Below are 20,980 nucleotides of genomic sequence, written 5' to 3' on the forward strand. Positions count from 1 at the left end.
TTTTTTCTCCAAAGGGCTGTACCATTCTACATTCTCACCAGCAGTATATAAAGGATCTAATTTCTCCATATCCTTGCTAGCACTTGTTGTTAACTGTCTTTTTTATTATAGTCGTACTAATAGGTGTGAAGTGGTATCGTAAGTGATTTTTGACTCGTGTTTCTCTGATGGCTAATGATGTTGAGCATCTTTTAATATGCTTATTAGCCATTTGTGTATAGTCTATGGAGAAATGTCCATTCAGATCCTTTGCCTATTTTAAAATTGGATTGATTTTCTTTTATTATTGAATTGTAAGAGTTCTTTATGCATTTTGGATATTAGGTCCTTCTCAGATATATATTTGCAAAATTTTCCCCCCATTCTGTTTTTGGCTTCACTTTCTTGAAGATGACTTTTGAAGCACAAAAGTTTTTAATTGTGATGATGTCCAATCTATTTTTTTTCTTTCATAACTTGTCTTTTTGGTTTTGTACCTTAAGAAACCATTGTCTAGGGTGGGCGCAGTGGCTCACGCCTGTAATCCCAGCACTTTGGGAGGCCAAGGTGGGCAGATCACCTGAGGTCAGGAGTTCTAGACCAGCCTTGCCAACATGGTGAAACCCCATCTCTACTGAAAATACAAAAATTAACCTGGCGTGGTGGCAGGCACCTGTAATCCCAGCTATTTGGGAGGCTAAGGCAGGAGAATCACTTGAACCTGGGAGGCAAAGGTTGAAGTGAACCAAGATTGTGTCACTGCACTCCGGCCTGGGTGACAGAGCAAGACTCTGTCTCAAAAAAAAAAAAAAAAAGAAAAGAAACCATTGTTTAATCCAAAGTAACAATGATTTACATCTTTTTTTCTAGGAGTTTTATAGTTTTACATTTAGGTTTTTTTTCTCTTTGAGTTGATTTTTGTACTTGGTATGAGTCCAACTTCACTTTTTGGTATATGGATATCTAGTTGTCCTGGCACTATTTGTTGAAAAGACTATTTTTCTCCTACTTGAATTATCTTGGTACCCTTCTTAAAAATGAATTCACCATAAATGTGAAGGTTTATTTCTGGACTCTCAATTTTATTCCATTGATCTGTTTGTCTGTCTTTATGCCAGTACCACACAGTCTTAATTAGTGTAGCTTTCTAGCAAGTTTTGAAGTCAGAAAGTGTGGGCCCTCCAATTTTGTTCCTTTTCTAAGTTGTTTTGGCTATTCTTGGTCCCTTGAATTTCCATGTGAATTTTAGAATCAGTTTGTCAATTTCTACAAAGAAGCCAGCAGAGATTTTGATAGAAGTTACATTAAATCTGAGGTATGTTGTTTTAATTTGCATTTAAAAAATAAATAATGGGGCTAACTTTTTTCAAATGTTTGTTAACAGTTTTAGTTTCTTCTGCAAATTCATATCATTTCTGTAAGCCAGGAAATCCCTGACACCCTCCTGTCAAGCTAAAAAACAAGAAACACAATAGAGCTGGGCATGGTGGCTCATGCATGTAATCTCAGTACTTTGGGAAGCCGAGGTGGGAGGATCACTTGAGCCTAGGAGTTCGAGACCAGCCTGGGCAACATAGTAAGACCCTGTCTCTACAAAAAAATTAAAAAATTGGCTGGGTGTGGTGGTGTGCACTTGTAGTCCCAGCTATTATGGATGCTGAGGTGGGAGGATCACTTGAGCCCAGGAGGTCAAGGCTGCAGTAAGCTGTTCTTGTGCCACTGCATAGTAGCCTGGGCAACAGAGCAAGATCCTGTCTAAAAAAAGAAAAAAAAAAAAAAAAAACCAACAACAAAACACAACAGAACACTGATTGTACTTTTTTTTTTTTTTTTTTTTTTGTTGAGACAGAGTCTTGCTCTGTTGCCCAGGCTAGAATGCAGCGGCGCGATCTCAGCTCACTGCAACTTCCGCCTCCTGAGTTTAAGCCATTCTCCTGCCTCAGCCTCCCGAGTAGTTTGGATTACAGGTGCCACCACCACGCCTAGCCAATTTTTGTATGTTTAGTAGAGACGGGGTTTCACCATGTTGACCAGGCTGGTCTTGAACTCCTGACCTCAAGTGATCCGCCCACCTTCGCCTCCCAAAGTACTGGGATTAAAGGCATGAGCCACCACGCCTGGCCAATTGTACTTTTAAGCACTAAGGAGTTTAGAGCCCCAGATATTCTATGTGGACGTCATGATGCTCATGCTTGTTTGTTTTAATAAGACTCTAGTACAAAGGGTCACATTTTCATAGAAGCTACACTTTTTCAGTTCCAAGAGCGAATAAAGACAGGCAGCCCTCTAATCTATAAAATTGAAAGTCGATGGCTCAGGGTTAGGGCCATTTCTTGGTAATGTTGAGATGGTTGGGCTGCTCTAGAACAAATATATACAGGAGAACTTGGAAGTGTTGGCCACCTTCATGGCCTTGAAGACCTTAGCTCTGCACACCATGCTGTGACCTTACTCCTGTCCTGTGATCAGATAGGGCACGCCCAGCCAGTAAGGTTCTCCATACAGTCTGCGACCACTGGTGTTTCCCAGTCCACTGCCTGCCAGGAATGCGACTGCAGCAGAGGAAGGCAGTCAGGAACATGGTGCATGTGGCCGAGCCCCTTAGGACTCTCTGCATGGTGGAAACATGCCCACCTCAGGGTGGGGCCTTCTGCTGCCTTCCTACTCAGATTTTCTAAGCCCATTCTGTAAAATTAATAGCAAGCTAAAGGTAGGTGAGATAGGCCTATGGAGACATTTTTTCTACAAAGGGACATGCAGCATTTATGAAAACTGTTGGCCCACATGTGACAGTGTTTAGGTCCTGAGTACTTGAAAAGTATTTGGTGGCCACTCAAAAAGCATACCTTGCCCCTTACCTGCATGATTTGGATTTGCTGTCATTCTCTAAGTGACCATGACATTTGGGGGTGCCTAATGGCACCCTACATGTTGGACACAGCTTCATGCATTGGTTAGAGATAGGCTGGTACTGAGAAATTTATAACATTGCTAGTTAATTTATACTGGCAAATTCTTGTATGCCTACTTAATATTTGCTTGTATCAAAATACACCTCTCTATTGTCTAGAGAGTAGAGGTGTCAGTTTCTGGAAACACTGCAGAAAAACTTTACTAGCTTTCCATGTGGTAGCTTCCCACATGGACTCTATTTTTTGAATTGTTTGTTTGTTTGTTTTCTGCCAGGCAGGAAATGGCTAGAAAAAAGTTTCTTAAATTTAGAAGGTCTTAAAGTCTACTTGTCTAAATTCCCTGCCGCCATCTTCTCACAACTGCTTTCTCTGTGTGTTGTCTCTTTTTGTCTCAAAAGGTCATTGGATTTAATACCCACATGGGTAGTCTAGGAGGATCTCATCTTGAGTCCTTAACTTGATTGTATTTGAAAAGATCCTTTTCCCAAATAAGGTCACATTCACAAGTTCTGGGTGTTAGGACATAAACATATATTTTTGAAGTTCACCCTTCAACCCATTATACCACCATGTCCCCTATCTCACTTTCCTTTCTACCAGATTCACTTTACAACACTCCAAACAAGGAGTTTCAGGTTTGTAGTCATGACACATTCGTCATTTTATGTCAATATATGCTGTTTATGAACAACTCTAAAGGTTAAAAATTATTCATTCTATTGAGCTAAATCTATTCTGGTATAATATTTGAGAACACATTCTAGATCTCTCCTGCACAGTTAATAGGGGTTAAGAAAGACTAGTCCCATGATTCTCAGGTTGAGGGAGAATAACACATGCACTGCCTCTCCACCATTCTGACACGGCATTATAGGAGGTGTAAGATCCTCTCTAACACCAGCCCCGCAAAACCTCAGACTTAATGAACAGTTCATGACATTGTGAGCCAGTTGTGATGGAAATGTAATGAATCCCCTCCAGGAGGGTTGGGAGCAAACAAAAAAGACTGAGGAACAGCAATTTCAGTCTTCCTCATGATAGCCATTCAGATGAAGACAACTACTATATTTTCCTGAGTCTGTTCTTTTCCAAGATCAACACCTTTAATTTTAATTATTCCCCATGACATGGCTTTTATTCTATTCATTCAGCAAATATTTATTGAGGGCCTAATATGTGCCAGGCAGTCTAGTAGGTATTAGAATGATGCAGGGATGAGTATACTAGAATCCATGTCATCTAAGATTATAATCTGGGGGAGGATGTAAACAAATAAATTGCAAGACACTGTGATAAGTATTTGGATAATGTTTAGTATAGGATCTAAGGGAGCACAAGCAGAGATTCCTAAGCCAGTGTTAAAGACCTGAAGATCAAGAAGAGACTGGGGAGGCAGGACAGATTCACATTCCAGGCAGAGGGAGCAGCCAGTACAAATGCCCACAAGTTGTAGTAGATATTAGCTGGGTTTCTGGCAGCCCAGCATCCTCATCCATCCACTTCCTGTTTTAGAGCCTTGCCTCCCATAGGGGAGAACGCAAGGTGGTTCCAGGCAATTGTGCAGGACTGGGACTAGGGTGAGGAGAGTGAGCCACTTGACTCAGCTGTAACATTTAAGGGGATACCAAAAAACTTATAATTAAGATAAAGAATATTTTAATGCATTGTTTATTAAAATCATAATTGATGCAAAAAAATCCATGATGAATAAAATATCAAAACCTTAAAGAAAGACATGATCAGTATAATTGGTTTTCCCTTTTGCCTCAAGCTCTAATATGGCTTGGTATGGCACTGCTGTTGATTCTGTCTTTCTTTAAATTTTTCTATTGTATTTCAACATGGATTTTTTTTTGGCATTAGTTTTGATTTTTTGAAATATTGTTTGTCTTGATTGGGGAGTTTGTTGGTGCTCCTTTAAATTGTGTGCCAAAAACGAGTGCCTTAGTCACCTCACCCTGGCTCCAGCCCTACAACCAGGACATAAACACAAAATCTATGCTTGGCCAGTTGTGCTGTCTCCTGGGGCTTTGACTCTGGAGCATAAATGTGGTTAGAGACATTTCACAGTGGTGGCAGCAGAAGTTAGTATCCTACTATGACCTGGCCTCCCATGGTCATGCCCCTTTTCTGAGCGGTTGTTCTGGTATTCAAGAACCATATTCTCTTCGTTTTTGAAAATCACAGTCATGTTTGTTTATCTTCAGACTTCTATTCTTCCCTTTCTCCCTTCTTTACAGATAACCAGTAGTGGTTGTATATTAATATATGCAAGCTTTCTTTTTGGTATCTGAGGACAAAATTTATCCAGGTGTAGCAAAATGAATTCATCGGAAGTAACTATTTTTTTCAGTCACTTCACTTGTCTTGTACTTCTTTTCCCATTTAATCTTTCTCCACCATTTCCACCTGAACGTAACCTTGAAGATTTATTTTTAGTTGTCATTTCTTAATATTATATTCACCTCTCCAAACACAAAAATACTTTCTGTTATCTTTAGCTTAAGAAGAATAATAGCAGTCACTGAACCTGAACACATGAACAACAGAGATTAAAGGATGCCAGATTCAGAGGTCCTCACTAAAAGTAAGCACCAGAGGCATCCATAAAGAAAACAATGTTCACCAAGAAACAACTGGAAGATTTAGAGATGTTATTCATTAAGAACCCATACCCAAACTCCAGTCTTTAGAAAGAATGGCCTCAAAAACTGACATCTCTCCAACAGTACTACAGATTTAATTCAAGAACCTCAGAGCAAAACTCAAGAAATGAAAATACAACCATATTCAATAAAAACAACAGAAGACTCAACAATAACAATTACTTTAGGGAAGAGTGGAGAGAAATATTGGCACACCACCTGGATCCACTACCGGTGCCAGCCCTGCCTCTCCAATTTCTATAAATCATCTGGCACCTTCAGTCCAAGTTAGCATGTCCCAGTTTTAAGGTCCACACAGATAACTCTGTTAGTCATAGAATAGCCTATTATGGCTACTGCCAAAACCATAATATATACTACCCCTTCCCCATTTTGGACTCCCAAGTTCTTTGCCCAAGTTCTGATTCTTTGGTCTCTTCACCTAGGTAGAACTTAACTGGCCGTTCTGAATTGCAAGAGAGAAAAACAATAGGTAGCCAAAAATTATTTACCTCATGCTGGGCATTACCTTTCCTGATAGTTTACTGAGTTTGTGCCACTCTTCACATTTATCCTGTAATAAATGAATCTCTACCTGTTTTTGTTTTGTTGCTTCTCTCCATTTTTCCCCATCAGAGTCAGTTATATTATAATTTTGTTTTTGAAGCCTTACCTTCTGTCTGTCTGGGGTTACACTCCCTGTTATAGTTTCTGGCTTAGAATTACCTATCCTACCTCTGAATGCTTGAAATTTACTCTCTTAGGGTCAAGGTTCCAGGCTTCCTTTGCTATTACAACACCGAAGCTAACTAGCATACTGTCTTCTTATAAAACTCTTGTCACCCCACATCACTTACAGTTTCCTTCTTGTCAGTCATTATAGTCTTGGATAGAAGTTCTCTTTGTTGTTTTCTCCACTTTCTGAGAAATGAAATTGTCAATGTGGTATCACCTTATCAGGTGCTCTTTTTTTTTTTTTTACCAGAATGAAACCTCTCCCCAATGCTGGGAGAGGTGACGTTTCCCGTTACTACTGTATATTGTGTCTATATCTGTTTTGTAATCTGTATTAGGAAATCATCACTATATCAACCACAAGAGTATCACTAGAATAGAACATACTTTACTAATGTCGTGAGCCGTAGTGACACTTGCCTCCTTGTATTAACCTTCTAAGTGTACTTTTTAGACTTTAACTTTTTTTTTTTTTTTTTTTTTGAGATGGAGTCTCACTCTCTCGCCCAGGCTGGAGTGCAGTGGTGTGATCTCGGCTCACTGCAACCTCTGCCTCCCAGGTTCAAGCAATTCCCCTGCCTCAGCCTCCCAAGTAGCTGGGATTACAGGTGCGCGCCACTGCGCCCAGCTAATTTTTTGTATTTTTAGTAGAGACGGGGTTTCACTGTGTTAGCCAGGATGGTCTTGAACTCCTGACCTCGTGATCCGCCTGCCTCAGCCTCCCAAAGTGCTGGGATTACAGACGTGAGCCACTGCACCTGGCCTAGACTTTAACTTCTAAGTGTACATTGTTCAGATTCCAGAGATTGTTATTAGGAATGAGGCTAGTAGCTTATTTTCCATCTACTTGAGTCTTTGCTGATAAATTATTGGAAGACTCTACTACTAAATAATAATTTTAGGTATCATACCAGCACCTCTAGTACCTCTGTATGGGAGTTCTGCTCAGTTTTAGATAATCTTATGAGATTTCAAACTCTATCCCATCACTGGCTTTAATGCTGTCATATATCTAATAAGGGAAGTGATATATTCCTTTCTTTCTCTCTCATTTCCTTAAAGGCATGGCAGACCTGGAGGAGATGAACACTTAAGGAACCTGAGCAAGTGGCATACTGTTTATCTTTTAGCTAGCATTGTAAAGCCAGAGATATGAATCATAGGGGAAAGAAAGGACAGAAAAAGAACAGTGCTTCTTCAAAAATAGAAAACTTTTTTTTATTTCCACCTAGTGTCATCATAATACTATATATATCTAGAGATATTCTCTATCATAGGAGCCAAAATTTGTCTTAAATCAGATAAGTATCTAAGTTATCAAGGACAGATTTTATTTAGCAAATATTCATTTAGAACTTGCTGTGGGATATATGTTCAAAGTGCTTTATGAACAGTAATTTATTGAATACTCATAGCAAGTGGAATCTCCTATCAGATGGGAACTACTACCAGTTCCCATTTTACTAATGGATGAGGAAAGTGAGGCTTAGAGAGGCTAAGTAACATCCCTAAGGTCTCACAGCTAGTAATGGGGGAGAGCTGGAATTTGAATTCAAGAAACCTGGCACCAGAGTCTATGCCTTAAACACTAATTATGCAGCCTCTCCAATATATTTTCTTCCTAAAGTTCCAATAGAGAATAATGATACAACTCATACTAGAAAATACCTAATGAGCATAAAATACTGTTTTTGTTTAAAACAACTAATTAAGGACTTTGTCAGACGTGTAACACTTTAACCTTCTTAGTTATAACTTGGCCAAAAGCTGCTTAGTTAAAACAATGTTCCTTCCACATTATTATTGTCTGCCTGGCCTCCCACCTATTTCCTAGGATTCAAATTAGACAGTTGGTGTCTAGCTCTTGTTTGTGTATATTTGACAATGAACTCCTTTTTTTTTTGGTCACATGTGTTCTGGGATTGTGGAAAGTTTATTGATTGTGTCCAGGGTTAGACGAATGATGTCCTTTAATCTAATCTCTTTTACCTTAATTATAGTTCTGACCTGCTAATTATTTCTACCTATCCATGTTCACATCCAATCTTCTCTTCCATGTAAGTGTTGCTAGTATCAGAAATTTTTTTCCATGTTTGCATAGGTTTTATTTTATTCTTTCCTAAATGTATTAATCTTTATTGTTTCAAGAGGAACTTTATTATAGTTAATATAGTATGACTTACCACATACATGTATTTACTAGGACTTCTGAATACATTTACTGAGAACTTGAATACTTTGGTGTAGGAGATTTTTCTCCTGTAATGAAGGAAGCCCCAAGAAACTAAATCAATAAACAAAAAGCTAAGAATTCTGTTTAATACCTGCTTTTCTACCCAACACTTGGTGTATTTTTTTTTCTTTTTTTTAAGATGGAGTTTTGCTCTTGTCGCCCAGGCTGGAGTGCAGTGGTGCGATCTCGGCTCACTACAACCTCTGCCTCCCAGGTTCAAGCGATTCTCCTGCCTCAGCCTCCCGAGTAGCTGGGATTACAGGTGTCCACCACCATGCTCAGCTAATTTTTGTATTTTTAGTAGAGATGGGGTTTCACCATGGTGACCAGGCTGGTCTCGAACTCCTGAGCTCAGGTGATCCACCCACCTTGGCCTCCCAAAGTGCTGGGATTACAGGCATGAGCCACCGCGCCTGGCCCACTTGGTGTATTTTAAAATGTGTTTATGCTTTCTTTTTTGGTAGCCATGACATCTCCCTGGCAACTGTACAACCTGTCTAATCTATAAATTATAGTGAAGAGTAGAAAACAGCTTAGGGCTGGGCACAGTGGCTCACACCTGTAAGCCCAGCACTTTGTGAGGCCAAGACAGGCAGATTGCTTGAGCTTAGGAGTTCAAGACCAGCCTGGGCAACATAACGAAACCCCATCTTTAAAAAATAAAATAAAATAAATAAACAAATGAGAAAAGAGCTTAAGAAGCATAGCTCCTAAATCACTTGCCTCTAGCCTAACCAAAGCTGTAACTCTAAGTTTTCACTAGACTTCTGGTGACCTAGTGATACCTGTTATTACTCTCATAAAACCACCAGCTTAAGTATGTATATTTTACTATAGTTGGTATAGATTCTAGCTTTCCTAGTCTGTGAAATATTTAACAAAGACCCTCTGTTGTTAATATTTGTGCCATGATGTTTCTCAAATTAACTATTTGGTGTTAGCCATGTAAGCTTTCAAATACAAACATTCAATATTCATTAAATCTTTAACTCCTCATCATGTGCCAGGCTCTGTGCTAGATACTATGACAGATGCAAAGATGAATAAAATGTAGTCCCTTCCTTTGTTTAGGGGTTTATAATCCCACAGATACCTAAATCATTAATATGTAGAATATTTACAAGGGCTGTAAGAAATGTTTAGGCAAAGAGCTAAAACATCCACAGGCTAAGGAAAACTACTTTTAGCTAAGGAGGGATCAAATAATTATGTGGAAATTGGCATTTAATCTGGATCTTGGCAGGTTAGACTTTGATAATCAGATTTGGAGAGTGGAAAAGGGGCTGACTCCACTGTTCAGACAACAACGCTGTTTAGACAGCACCACATAATAAAGTAGTACTTTGGAGATAGGCAGTGATGGGTTGGGGGGAGTAATAAATATTGCCTAACTTTGTTCTATTACCAAACTTGTGGCAACTTTACTGTGACGAGATTTGAGGAGAAAGATAAAATTTAATACCCAATTGAAAATAGATGGTTAAACAAACAAGCAAAAATTATTATTATTATTTCATTATTTTTTGAGACACGATCTCTCTGTATCATCCAGGCTGGAGTGCAGTGGTGCAATCATGGCTCACTGCAGCCTCAAACTCCCAGGCTCAGGTGATCCTCCCACTTCAGCCTCCCAAGTAACTGGGCCTAGAGACATGCACTAACACACCTGGCTAATTTTTGTATATTTTGAAGAGACAGGGTTTCACCATGTTCCCCATGGCTAGTCTTGAACTCCTAAGCTCAAGCGATCCACCCGCCTCTGTCTCCCAAAGTTCTGGGATACAGGCGTGAGCCACCGTGCCTGGCCCCAAGAAAAATTCTTACCGTCCTTGTGATATTGGTGGATTTTGGTTATCTCTAAAATCAGATTTCTTCCTTTTGATTATAAGAAACAGTTTTAATGGATTCCACTTATTTTCCTTAAAAGTTATGTTAGCCAGGCGCGGTGGCTCATGCCTGTAATCCCAGCACTTTGGGAGGCCGAGGTGGGTGGATCACGAGGTCAGGAGATGAAGACCATCCTGGCCAACATGGTGAAACCCCGTCTCTACTAAAAATACAAAAAATTTAGTCGGGCGTGGTGGCAGGCGCCTGTAGTCCCAGCTACTTGGGAGGCTGAGGCAGGAGAATGGCGAGAACGTGGGAGGCAGAGCTTGCAGTGAGCTGAGATCGCACCACTGCACTCCAGCCTGGGTGACAGAGCGAGACTCTGTCTCAAAAAAAAAAAAGTTATGTTATGACAATACAACACATTGGCATAATGTCCCCTTAGAAGCATGGAAATCATCTGTGCTTTCCTTCATTCAGGTTTCTCCAGCTTGCACCTATAAATCTGAACCAGTCCTTTAGCTTTTAATGTTCTTCTTCCTCTTCCATCCTGGTCTATCCTTACATAAGAGAACTCCCACCAAAAATATCCTTACTTCTCCCAGGGACTCTCTACTTCTCAGAGAGTCCCAGTTTATATCTTACAGCAAAATGAAATAAATAGGAATTTGGGCATATTTTAAACTTTTTTTAAAATTTTAGTTTAAAATTATAATTTTTTTCTTTATTGTTCACAGTTAAGTAACAAGTAATTTTTTTTTGCACAAGCCCGCAGAAATACGTAACAGGTAATTTAAAGACTTAAATCAGCCGGGCGCAGTGGCTCATGCCTGTAATCCCAGCACTTTGGGAGGCCGAGGTCGGTGGATCACAAGGTCAGGAGTTCGAGACCAGCCTGGCCAATATGGTGAAATCCCATCTTTACTAAAAATACAAAAATTAGCCGGGCGTGGTGGCACACGCCTGTAGTCCCAGCTACTTGGGAGGCTGAGGCAGAAGAATCGCTTGAACCCAGGAAGTGGAGGTTGCAGTGAGCCAAGATCGCGCCACTGCACTCCAGCCTGGGCGATAGAGCAAGACTCCGTCTCAAAATAAATAAATAAATGAAGACTTAAAATCATAAGTGCTAGCTTTACAATATTAATTTTTAAAAGATAATAGCCAGCCATTGAGCATTATTGCCTTCCCTTGTGTGTGAAAAAAGAAAACATAACATGTAACTCTGAATAAATATAGAGTTAAAAAAATAATTTCAACTTCTGTTTTAGATTCTGGGGCTACATGTACAGATTTGTTACACAGATATATTGCACGATGCTGAGGTTTGGATTACGAATGATCCCCTCACCCAGGTAGTGAACATAGTACCCAATAGTTAGTGTTTTCAACCCTTGCCTTCCTCCCTCCATCTCCCCGCTAGTAGTCCCAGTGTCCGTTGTTGCCATCTTTATATCCATGAGTACCCAATGTTTATCTCATACTTGTAAGTGAGAACATGCAGTATTTAGCTTTCTGTTCCTGTGTTAATTTGCATAGGATAATCGCCTCCGGCTGCATCCATGTTGCTGCGAAGGACATGATTTTGTTCTTTTCTGTGGCCACATAGTATTCCATGGTGCATATGTACCACATTTTCTTTATCCAGTCCACCATTGATGGGCATCTAGGTTGAGTCCATGTCTCTGCTATTGTGAATAATGTTGCGATGAACATATGAGTGCATGTGTCTTTTTGGTAAAATGATTTTATTTTTAATATATACCCAGTAATGGGATTGCTGGGTTGAATGGTAGTTCTAAGTTATTTGAAAAATCTCCAAACTGCTTTCCATGGTGACTGAACCAATCTATATTCCCACCAACAGTGTATGAGCCTTCCCTTTTCTCCACAGCCTTGCCAGCATCTGTTTTTTACTTTTTAACAATATCCATTCTGACTGGTATGAGATGGGATCTCATTATGGTTTTGATTTATAGTTCTCTGATGATTAGCGATATTGAGCATTTTTTCATGTTTGTTGTCCACTTGTATGTCTTCTTTTGAGAAGTGTCTATTCATGTCTTTTGCCCACTTTGTAATGGGACTATTTGTTTTTTGCTTATTAAATTGCTTAAGCTCCTTATAGATTCCTGGATATTAGATTTTTGTTGGATGCGTAGTTTGCGATTATTTTCTCCTATTTGTAGGTTATCTATTTCTTCTGTTAATAGTTTCTTTTGTTGTGCAGAAGCTCTTTAGTTTAATTAGGTCCCACTTGTTGATTTTTGTTTTTATTGCAGTTGCTTTTGAGGACTTAGTCATAAATTCTTTCTGAAGGCCGACGTCCAGAATGGTGTTTACTAGGTTTTCTTTTAGGATTTCTATAGTTTGAGGTTTTATGTTTAAATCTTTAATCCATCTTGACTTAATTTTTGTATATGGTGAAAGGTAAAGGTCCAGTTTCATTCTCCTGCTATGACTGGCCAGCTATCCCGGCACCATTTATTGAATAGGGAGTCTTTTCCCCATTAATGCTGGTATTTTAAAAGGGCATGAAGATGTTGGCCTATAGTATGCCAACCTTTTCATTTCAGTTACTCCCCACCCCTCATAAAATACTTTGTTTACATTATGCCCTGTAGATGGCAGTACTTATATGAAAAATGTAAGTTTAGAAAGAGCTTTGAGAATGATTAGCAGGTGGGGTCTTTAATGAGAAAGGCTTAATTGACATGTTCTTTGTCAATTTTTTTCATTCACTGGATTTTTTTCAAACAATCACAAGCTTTCTTTATCACTCATGATGTTTCCATTGAGTTTTCTTTCACCATCGCCTGACCTCCCTAGACCCCACTTTTGTTTCAGAAATCACATGTTACACAATCATTTTCTCTTTAGAGGGCAGTGATTAGAAACTAGTTGATTACATATATGATAGGATCCTGTGTAAACTTCTGGGTACATATTTTTTTTCTCAAGAAGCTCGAGTGCCAGCCAGATGTCATTACTGTAAATTCTTTTTTTTTTTTTTTTTTTTGAGACCAAGTATCACTCTGTGGCCCAGGCTGGAGTGCAGTGGTGCAATCTCTGCTCACTGCAACCTCTGCCTCCCAGGTTCAAGCAATTCTCCTGCCTCAGCCTCTCTAGTGGCTGGGATTACAGGTATGCGCCATAACTCCTGGCTCATTTTTGTATTTTTAGTAGAAACGGGTTTCGCCATGTTGCCCAGGCTGGTCTCTAACTCCTGGACTCAAGCAATCCACCCGCCTTGGCCTCCCAAGGTATTGGGATTACAGGCGTGAGCCACCACGCCCAACCCATTACTGTAAATTCTGATAGAGATGGGGAAAGCAGTATCACATAGCTTTCAAATATGATTTCATTACAAATCTACAGTTATAGGGTCAATCAAGTATATCTTTGAGCGGGAGAAAGTAACTCATTCAGGAATATGAAAAGCTGTCTTGTTCTCCCTAAACATTGGGGATTTTGACTGTGGGATTCATTTAGTAAGTATTCATCGAGTACTTATATGTTAGGCACTGTGCTGGGTAGGTATCCTGCATTACAATTATGAAAGGACATAGTCCGTACTCTCAGATATGCCTTTTCAAGTTAGTGAAACCTGGTGATTCTTGTGAAAGAGGTATGTGGAAGATACGGTAAAAGCACAGAATAGGAATAGATGGTTATGGCAGATATTACCAATTAATTACAACACACTTTTCTTCCAAGTCTGCTGGTCTCAAACTCCTCCACAACACTTGAGAAGCTGGTATTGTTCAATCAAAGAAGACATGCAAGAAGCCTGTTGCCTAAACATGGCATGGTGGGAGTAGTGCCTAAGATACTACTGAGAAATGTTATGCAGTATGCCACCAACTGTGTAAAGACAGGAAAAGAGAACACACACACACACACACACACACACACACACACACACACACTTGCTTGTTGATGTCTAGTCTCTAGAAGGCTACTGAAGAAATGGATAATACTGGTTGCCTCTCGGGAGAACAGCTAGGTGGCTGGGGGATGGAGTGGGAGAGAAACTTTTTATTGAATATCATTTGGTTTCTTTTGGAGTTTGAGCCATGTGAATTTATTACCCATACAAAAATGAAGTTCAAGGTTTACTACCTTACATCACATTACCATGTCTGAGGAGAATATATACCAGTTGTCTTTTATTTGGTGGGTTTTTTAATCTACTAAACTCCTAATCATATACTAAATAGAATAAAAGTATTGCCAAGGATCATTTAAGTATCTTGTAACACTTTTTGTTTTGGTTATGGGAAATTACCAGTTTTTATTTTTCACGCTTCTCAACTAGTATATCCTGATAAACCTTGAGTGGCTGAGAGTGGAAGTGGTTCCTCCCACAAAAGCCAACTATAGATTTTTTTTTATGTACAGCAAAGAGCTATGTGTTTTTGTATTTGTTTGGCTTTGTTGTTTTAATGGAAATTATACATGAGCTATGCCAGATAATCCTGGCAGAAAACAGATTGTGAACAGAAAACATATGGTTAGTAAGTCCATTTGCATTGCTCAGAATTTAGAGCAAATTAACATATTTCCTTGTTGAGATGAATTGGAGTAGTCATAGTAGGACAGATAGAGGCGCCAACTCTCTTGAAATAAATTTTTATAGCTGAAATTTAAAAATACTGGGAATGTGAAAGGAAAGTCCTTAGAATCAGCCATACCCCAGGGGTCCTTAGAAATTTGATATGTGTTTATGGATCACGTAAAGATGATGTTGAGGGTTGTAAAGTATAGGTTTATTCAATCTAAGGAACTTTAGGTCTAGTTGAAACCTGATAAATAAAACAGAATGAAAGTCACATATACACAAGGAATTGCATAAGTTATGAACTTTATTATATACATGCATACTTGCTAAAGCACAATATATAGTCAGTAGACATCAAATGGCTGGTTAATCTTTATGAACTCTGTTTCTGTTAATTGGATAAGAAAAACAGCTTATACCATGGTAGCATATAACAGTTTACAGATCACTTCTGCAGTGTTTATCTCACTTAATCATAGGTTCAAGATTTTATTAATATTTGGGGAGATGGTTTATATCATAATGAAAATCATATCTTTTATTCTGACTTCCATCCCCCTGTTTGGTATGGCCATGCAGATTTTTTTTTTTTTTCATTTTGGAGTTTTTTTGAGACAGGGTCTCACTTTGTCACCCAGGCTGGAGTGCAGTGACACAAACATAGCTTACTGCAGCCTCAGACTCCTGGCCTCAAGCAGTCCTCTCACCTCAGCTTCCCAAGTAGCTGGGATTATAGGCATGCGCCACCATGCCTAGCTAATGTAAAAAAAAAAAATTTTTGTAGAGATGGGGTCTCACTGTGTTGCCCAGGTTAGTTTCTAACTCCTGGCCTCAAGCAGTTCTCCTGCCTCAACCCATGTAGAAGTTTTTGATAGAAAAACAGCAATTATGTAAACTTTTCTTGACATACTTAGCCTGCCAATTAAGAAGAAAACCTCCATCTCTGCTAACGTGGTGTTTCCACCCCTTTTTATTACTTAATTTTTGCTTGGCCCATAGTAAGTCCTTGCCAGAGCATGGTAAAATCTGGCAACGTCCCAAACTGTTTCTACCATTCCTTCTCCTTCCTCTTTTTTTTTGAGACAGAATCTTTCTTCGTTGCCAGGCTGGAGTGCAGTGGCATGATCTTGGCTCACTGCAACCTCCACCTCCCAGGTTCAAGTGATTCTCCTGCCTCAGCCTCCTGAGTAGCTGGGACTACAGATGCATGCCACCACGACCGGCTAATTTTTTTGTATTTTTAGTAGAGGCGGGGTTTCACCATGTTAGCCAGGATGGTCTTGGTCTCCTGACCTCATGATCTGCCCGCCTCAGCCTACCAAAGTGCTGGGATTGCAGGCATGAGCCACTGCGCCCAGCCCTCCTTCCTCTTTTACAACAGGTAGGAGTTCCATTCCAAGGTTCTGGATTTTTGGACTCATTCTCTTAATCTCTTTCAGTTTTAAGAAATCCATCTCTCTTCTGTGCTCTCAAACTTCAGTTTCCCCTTTTCTTTTCATTCGTCAACCCATTCGGCAAATACTTATTGATCATCATAAGCATCAGGCCCTGTTTTTTGCGCCAGGGATACACCAATGAATTAAGTAGAGAAAACTCCCTTCACTCATGGAGCTAACATTGTTTCTGATAGGTACTTACCATCGGCTACGGCATTGCATAACTCTAGAGTATTATTTTTCTACATCTCTCTTCCTAATAAATATATGAATTGTAACTTTGTCTCTAGAATTGTTGTAGAGACAATGAATATTGCCTCTAGAGTTGTTCAGTGCACAGCCAGCTTAGTTCTATACAGTAGTCTTATCTACTGTGCTTAATTAGGATGTCTGTCAAAACTAATTTCCTATAGTAAAATCAGTCAGCTTCCACATTCTAACAATTGCCAACGTGCAATCCCTTCGTTTAAGAAAAGCATGCAGTCCTCTCCATGGTGCAAGGGTGGAAGAGGATTTTGTGGAGAAATCATCCTTTGTATTTCCTCAGATTACCTGTGTTAGGCCACCCTAAAATTTGCTTGTTGCTTCTTTCTTTACCTTCTACAGTATTGAAGGATTTTTTTCCTTTGTCTTTGAGTAGTTCTCTAATTTTTTTCGTTTCCTTTTTTTTTCCCTGCACAGAAAAACTATGTTCACATTTCTTTTCCCTTACAATGATCACAGCATGTGTTTTTCCTGAGCTCTGCAGTGGTTCTTCCACCTTGATTTATGTTCAGTAAATGTGCAATTGGTAAGAAGTCTGTGCTCTGCATTTTGAAGGCAAAGTTACAATTCATATATTTATTAGGAAGAGAGATGTAGAAAAATAATACCATTAGATTCCATTATAATATTTTCTTGCTTCGTGACTCTGCTCAGTCCTCTTAAGTTTGTTAAAGCTCAGGCTTTCCTTATGATCAAAATATGGATCTGAAAAACACTTATTAATACTACTTACTCTACTCCCTTATATAGAAAATAACTTTGAATTTGTCTAAGAAATCATGTCAAGACGCATCTTTCAATGAAATGTGTGCTCGAAGAGAGTAATTCTTTGTGCATGTAGGGTTGGAAAAGGTGAGAAGTATGTTTACTTGCACGTCATTGTAGTTGAAATCAGATGGAAAGGTTTAGAGATTGTGCAATTAGGGAATGTTTTCTACCCACAGATTCTGTAGCCGTGTGTTTCACATTCATTAACAATTAGGCCCAAGGATACTTGGATTCGCATCTGCTTTGGAAACTATTTTTTCCAAATACTGTGTTTCCTAGATCTTTACTGAAATGATCAACATTAGGTATGAACTGCACCAACTTTCCTCTTTAAGATAGCTTTGTTTGTCCTTTGATCTTTTCTGTCCATGTTCAGCCTCTTAAAACCATCTCTGCTGCAAATGTCATTTATATGATGCAGTAAGACACTCTTTCAAATAATTTTTGGATGTATGCTAATCATATATGAGACACAAAGGCTCCTACGCCCCTAGCCTTACTTCCCTCTTGGCACTTTTACTTACTTCATTTTTTTTTAGACTTCAAATGTGATTAACTCTCTCAAATCCTTTCTTTCCTCTTTCAACTGTTGTTCCTTTTTTTTTTTTTTTTTTAAGAGTAAGGGTCTCACTGTGTCACCCAGTTTGGAGTGCAGTGGTGTGATCATAGCTTACTGTAGCCTCTGAACTCCTGGGCTCAAGTAATCCTCCCACCCAGCTCCCAGAGTAGCTGAGACTGCAAGCACACACCACCATGCCCAACTAATTTTTTTTTTAATGTTTTTGTAGAGACAGAATCTCGCTTTGTTTCCCAGGCTGGTCTCAAACTCCTGGCTTCAAGTGATCCTCCCACCTTGGCCTCCCAAAGTGCTGGGATTACAGGCATGAGCCACCACACCTGTTCCCTATTTTTAATATCTTATAACTGAATGCTTTAATCCTGCAACTTAAGATACATCTTCACTGCTTAATTGAAATGGCACTCTTTCAATGTTACCAGTAACCTCCAAGGGGAAATGGAAGCTAATATTTTTTGAAGGAAAATTTGTATTATTTTAATTATTTTTATGTACAGAAAACTCAACAGTGTACATTTAACTCAGTTTAGTGGAAAGTTCTTTAGCCTTTGCCTTTTCGAGCTTGGTGATGCGAGCCACAGACTTGGGACCCAGGACATTGCCTCCCTAGTGATGGCGGATTTCATCATATCTGTCATTGTAATTGGTCCTGATAGCTTCCACCAGCTTAGCCAAAGTGTCTTTGTCTTCCGAGTTAACCTGTGTAAAGTTGACAGTGGTGCAGGTCTTCCTGTGGACTAGATGTCCCAGTCTTGCCTTCCCCTTGATAATGCAGTAAGGGACCCCCATTTTATGACACAAGGCAAGCAGGAAGACAACTAGCTTGATGGGATCCACTTCATGTGCAGTCACCACCAGCTGAGCCTTCTTGTTCTCCTCCAAGGTGGTGATGGTGTTAACTCCTGCTCGAAGGACAGGTGGTCTTTTAGTGGGGACGTCCCCTTTGCCAGCAGCTTTCTTCTTGGCCTGGACAAACAGCCTCTGCTTCTTCTCTTGGGAAGCTAATATTTTTTAGTACCTTCTGTAGACCAAGCAAAAGTTGCCAATGCTAGACACTTGTATATGGAGTACCTCATTTAATTCTTACAGCTGTTATTGGTATTACCTCCTTAAGAATGTGGAAACTAGCCAGGCGTGGTGGCTCATGCCTGTGATCCCAGCATTTTGGGAGGCCGAGGTGGTGGATTGCTTGAGCTCAGGATTTTGAGACCAGCCTGGGCAAGGTGACAAAACCCATCTCTACCAAAAAAACAAACAAAAAAACACCACAAAAAACAGAAAACAAAAAATTAGCCAGGCAGAGTGATACACACATATAGTCCCAGCTACTGGGGAGGCTGAGGTGGGAGGACATCTTGAGCCCAGGAGGCGGAGGTTGCATTGAGCCGAGATTGTGCCACTGCACTCCAACCTGGGCAACACAGCAAGACCCCATCTCCAAAAAAAAAAAAAAAAAAAAAAGCATAAGGAAACTAAGACCCAGAAAAGGTTAAGTAACTTGTCTCATAGCTAGTAAATGGCAAAGTAACAGGATTAGACATGTCTCATTCCAAATTCCTTGTTCTTTCCCGTGTAACACACTGTTCTTTATATTTTAACCTACTGATCTATTTATCTGTTTTCTTGAAATACCATGGTAGACTCTTTGAGACATGCTTTTCTGATTCTCTTGGATCTCCATTGCTTTAATCACTAACTCATAAATAGCTAGCTTGCTCTAGTTTCTGTCCTCCTCATCTAAACCTCTCAAAAGACTGGTATACAATTCTTTTCTTGCTACCCATTTGCTCCCTAACCCCTAAGCCCACTGAAGTCTGGCTTAGTCTCCATCATTGCATTGAAAATGCTCTCCCTCAGGACAGCAGTAACTTCCTAATTGCCAGTTTTGATGAACATATTTTAGTCTTTATCACTCTTTTTCTGCATTTAATACTTTATAGATTCCTTTCTTCTTGAAATTGTCTATGTCTTTGAATTCTGTGACTTCACATTCTTATCCTTCTCATTACACTCTCTGACCATTCCTTGTTCTCTCTTGTTTTTGAACTTCCCTTCCTTCTCTTACTCCTTAAATGTTGGTGTTCTCTGATGTTCTATCTCTGCATCTTTACCTTAGACAGGTACTTGAAACTAAATACTGTATGTCCAAAACTGAACTTGCCATCTTCCTGCCAGACATCTACACCAATAGGTGGTACCAAATGTTCACCAAGTCTTGCCAATTTTACCTCCTAATTATTTCTCTCTCTCTCTCATCTTCTTTCTTTCTCTCTCTTTCTCCTTCTTTCTTTCATTTTTCTTTTCTTTCTTTTCTTTCCTTTCTTCCTCCCTCCCTCCTTCCCTCCTTCACTCCTTCCTTCCCTCCTTCTCTTCCTTCCTTCTCTTCCTTCCTTTCCTTCCCTTCCTTCCTTTCCTTCCTTCCTTCCTTCTCTCTCTCTCTCTCTTTCTCTCTCTCGACAGAGTCTTGCTCTGTCACCCAGGCTACAGTGCAGTGGCGCCATCACAGCTCACTGCAGCCTTGACCTCCTAGGCTGAAATGATCCTCCTGCCTCTGCATCCTGAGTAGCTGGGACCACAGACGTGCGCCACCACATCCAACTAATTTTTAAATTTTTCGTAGAGACAAAGTCTCCCTATGTTGCCCAGGCGGATCTCAAACTCCCAGACTCAAGCGATCCTCCCACCTAGACCTCCCAAAGTGCTGGGGTTACAGGCATCAACCACTATGCCCAGCTCTGTTTCTCAAATCCATTCTTTTCTCTTCTTCTTTTACCATATCTTTCTCATCAGATCCTTGTTAGTACCTGCTTAAATCCCTATCATAGCCTCCTAACTGGTTTCTCATCTTCAGTTTTGTTTCTTTCAAATCTATCCTCTTCCACAGGCAAAAATGACCATGTAACTTAAATCAATTTACAGTTAATGTTTTGACTAGGGAGATATCTGAATATATTAAAATATTTATAGTTCCCCTTTCCAATTTTGCCTTTTCACCTTCTTAAACTTCTATTTTTTATTTGAGACAGCGTCTTGCTCTGTTGCCCAG

The 20,980-nt window shown here is 39.7% G+C and overlaps 1 protein-coding gene, 1 long non-coding RNA gene and 3 pseudogenes across 10 annotated transcripts in view; 3 read left to right on the forward strand and 2 right to left on the reverse strand.

Moving 5' to 3' along the window:
• PRORP-PSMA6 (PRORP-PSMA6 readthrough) overlaps window positions 1-20,980 on the forward strand; it is a 195,633-nt gene that overhangs the window by 94,885 nt on the left and 79,768 nt on the right. The window lies entirely within an intron of this gene.
• PRORP (protein only RNase P catalytic subunit) overlaps window positions 1-20,980 on the forward strand; it is a 155,784-nt gene that overhangs the window by 94,885 nt on the left and 39,919 nt on the right. The window lies entirely within an intron of this gene.
• On the reverse strand, window positions 2,297-2,571 carry MRPL57P8 (mitochondrial ribosomal protein L57 pseudogene 8; annotated as a pseudogene).
• Window positions 5,404-6,042, forward strand: DPRXP3 (divergent-paired related homeobox pseudogene 3; annotated as a pseudogene).
• RPL7AP3 (ribosomal protein L7a pseudogene 3) lies at window positions 18,391-18,930 on the reverse strand (annotated as a pseudogene).

Source organism: Homo sapiens, chromosome 14, assembly GCF_000001405.40.
Source record: "Homo sapiens chromosome 14, GRCh38.p14 Primary Assembly".
NCBI lineage: Eukaryota > Metazoa > Chordata > Mammalia > Primates > Hominidae > Homo > Homo sapiens.